At 36.3% G+C, this 3386-nt stretch overlaps 1 annotated feature.

Annotated features, from left to right (window-relative positions):
• Window positions 2420–2921: an enhancer, noted in NCBI's record as "NANOG hESC enhancer chr2:188483510-188484011 (GRCh37/hg19 assembly coordinates)". NCBI's record gives its function as "activates a minimal SCP1, AML or CMV promoter by ChIP-STARR-seq in primed H9 embryonic stem cells {active_cell/tissue: H9 hESC(primed)}" and the evidence as "EXISTENCE:reporter gene assay evidence [ECO:0000049][PMID:30033119]".

Here is a 3386-nt window from a genome sequence, read left to right on the forward strand (position 1 = left end):
CAAAGAATTCCAGCTTTTAAATTTATGTATAATGAATGCGTGTATAATTTAAAAATATTAGATACCAATATTTTTAAAGAAAACAGAAAATACTATAGATTAGATGTATTGCAAACTATAAAATATGCTTGCAGTCAGCTTAGAAAAAGATGAAACTTTAAGAGGTGAATTTTAAAGATTATGTGGTACAGTTCAGTTTAATGGCTCTCTAGTTTTACTTACTAAAATATGAGTAAGTTTTATTTCATTATGATATTCAATGACTGTGAACATTAAAATTTCTCTCAAAAATGTTACTCTTAAATAATAGCAAATAATATTAAATATAAAGACATACTGCAAAGGCATAGTATGTGGTAACAGTAAGGAAGACTGAGTGTCTTAGTGAGGGGTATGTCATAAAATCAAATGTTATCCACAATTAAATCTAACAAAAGACCCCTAAGCTAAAAACTACAAAACAATGCCGAAAGAAACCTAAAAGACCTAAGTAAATGGAGATATACACCAAGTTCATGGATTAAAAGTATCAATTCATGCAAAGATGGATCAATTAAGGAGAACAGAGTCAAAGTACATACATACACACACACACACACACACACACACATATTAGCGATTGATACAAAATAAAGGTCATAAGGTAATTGAATGGGAAAAGAGAACTTTCAACAAGTGATGTTGAGGATGTAATAACTGCCTTTCAGAATTGTTCTGATGTATTATTTATCATTGTGTAATAAGTTATTCTAAAATTTAACAGCTTAAATACAAACATATATTTTCTCACAAAATTGCTTAGAGTTAGGGGCCCAGGAATGGCTTAGCTGGGTCCTCTGACTCAGGGTTGCTCACAAATTTAAAGTTATCAGCCCAAGCTTCTATCATGTCATTGCTCAACCAGGGCTGGAGAGCCCGCTTCCAACATAGCTCGCATGGCTGTTGGAAGGCTTCACACTCCTTGGCTGTTGACTGCAGGCGTTAGTTCTTTTCCTTGTTGCATTTCCATAAAGATGCTCACACATTGCAGCTGCTTACCCCAGAGTGAATGATGACAGAGAAGGAAGACAAAGAGTGTGTCAGGGCCCAAATGGAAGCCTCAGCTTTTAAAATAATCACAGAAATGGCATACCACCCCTTTTTCTGTGTACTGTTGGTCACACAGAACAAACCTAGTACAAAAATGTAGAAGGGTACTGCACAAGGGTGTAAATACCAGGAGGTGAGAATCATTAACAACTATCATAAAACACTGGTTATCCCATGAAAATAAAAGAAGTTAAATGTACAAAGCACTCAGAACAGTTTCTGACAAAGCAGAAACACTATTCGAGCATTGTCTATTCCTATTATGACCTATACCAATTATTTTGATATTTTTGACAATAAAGTATCACATTTGAGATAATATTATTACAGTTTATTCCATATTTGTAATTATGATTTTTTTCTTCTTACATCCTTTGTGGGATGATTGGTTGTAAGTTCACTGAAATTGATGTTTCAAATGCAGATAAGTTATTTTAGTATTTAATGTGAAGTTTTTAGGGTGAGATATGTGAGTGAATACAGGGACTGTCATTTCAGTGTCATGTGAATGCAGGGAACTGCCCTCATAATTACAGGCTGATCCTGATTGCATTATATCCTACAATGAAAGTCTCTCATTCTAGACTTTGATAAATAATGCCATGTGGCAGTTTCCAGTTTCAGCATCAGCAAGTAGAGCCAATGTGCCAGGTGCAAGCTGAGATGATGTTTCAATGCACAACAATTTGGATGCCAATGTTAGTGCTTTGCTTCCTCTGATTCAGCTCATCTTTCTGACATTGAGCATTACTGAGGTCAGTGCTCTGGTGATATGAGGTCAAAATAAATGAAAGTCATTGTGGGTGATTCTTGCAAGACACACATCTTTGCACAAAAAGTTGTTCACTTTATTGCTGCTTAATATGTTCCTTTTCAAAATTAGAATCATGAACTCTTTGAAATTTCACAGGTTGAGTGAGTGGATTTATAGCAACTGAGAATTATTAGGTCAACTTATAAAATAAGGAAACACAAACTTTAGATTTTTTGAGAAAAATAAGAATATGTTCTCTTCCAGCATAAATTTACAGTTGCCCTGACTCTGTTAAAAGGTGTAGCTTTTTGAAGGAATGCTTTGAAGACGATAAACACGCTATAGAACACAGCACCCCAGGTCTCTTGCCTCAGACGCTACATTCCTTAAAAGAAAAATGACCCTACTTCTTGCCTTTTCTTACACATAAAAAAGCCTACCGAGTTTAGCAATTATGCTCCTGCAAACTATAACTAGATGTACTCTTACAACCAAGCTCTCATATAATTTGCATGTACTGAATCTTCACTGCCTGAATAAAAACTATGAGCTGAAATGCTGCGTCAGAGCTGACAGAAATTCTCTCAAAGACTCTCCGAGGTTATAATCCTCAGTAAGATGGAATAAAACTAACTTTAATTATTTAAAACCCTGATTTTTCTTTAGCCTAACATTTAAATAGACAACTGTCTTTGTTTTTGTGTTGCTATCAAGGAATACCTAAGGCTGAGTAATTTACAAAGAAAAGAGCTTTATTTGACTCATTGTTCTGCATCTGGTAAGGACATCAGGCAGCTTTGACTCACGGCAGAAGAGGCAGGGGGCCAGTGTGTGCAGAGATCATATGGTGAGAGAGGAAGCAAGAGTGAGAAGGGAGATATCAGGCTCCTTTTCACAACCACCTCTCAGGAGAACTGGAAGAGCAAGAATTCATTACCATGAGGATGGCACCAACCCATTCATGAGGGATCTTCCCCCACAACCGAAACACCCCCCATTAGGCACTACCCCCAATACTACTGAAAGCCAAATTTTAATATGAGACTTGGTGAGGCTGAAAAAACTAGACCAAAACCATAGCAATATCTGATCCAAAGCTATATCAGGTATGCTCCTCAGAGCTATAGTTCTATAAGATGTTAGTAGCTGTTGCATGATGTCACTGGCATATGTAATTTCTTGACCATTCATACTTAAATTTTCACAATAACCTCCCAAATACTTTTCAGTAAATTACCTTTCTCCCAGGGTGCATTTGAAAACAGAGGCTGACACAAACTTTCAAGCTAGAATTTTGTTGATGAATATCATTCAAAGGAAGAAAACACGGATGGAAAGGAAGTGAGGTAGAGAAGAAGGAAAAGCAAATACAAGATAGTGCATTCCCAACCTCCAAGAAAACCAAGATGTTGACTCTGTCATGCAGAATACCTCTAGAGAGGCAGTTTAAAACCACTGCTCTTTGAATAGTCCTAGTTCCTATCTCTCATTAGCCAGTCCTTCCTGAACAACATTAAATCATCCACTCTTTAGAATGGTGTTG

The sequence above is a fragment of the Homo sapiens genome, chromosome 2 (assembly GCF_000001405.40).
Source record: "Homo sapiens chromosome 2, GRCh38.p14 Primary Assembly".
NCBI classification, from domain to species: domain Eukaryota; kingdom Metazoa; phylum Chordata; class Mammalia; order Primates; family Hominidae; genus Homo; species Homo sapiens.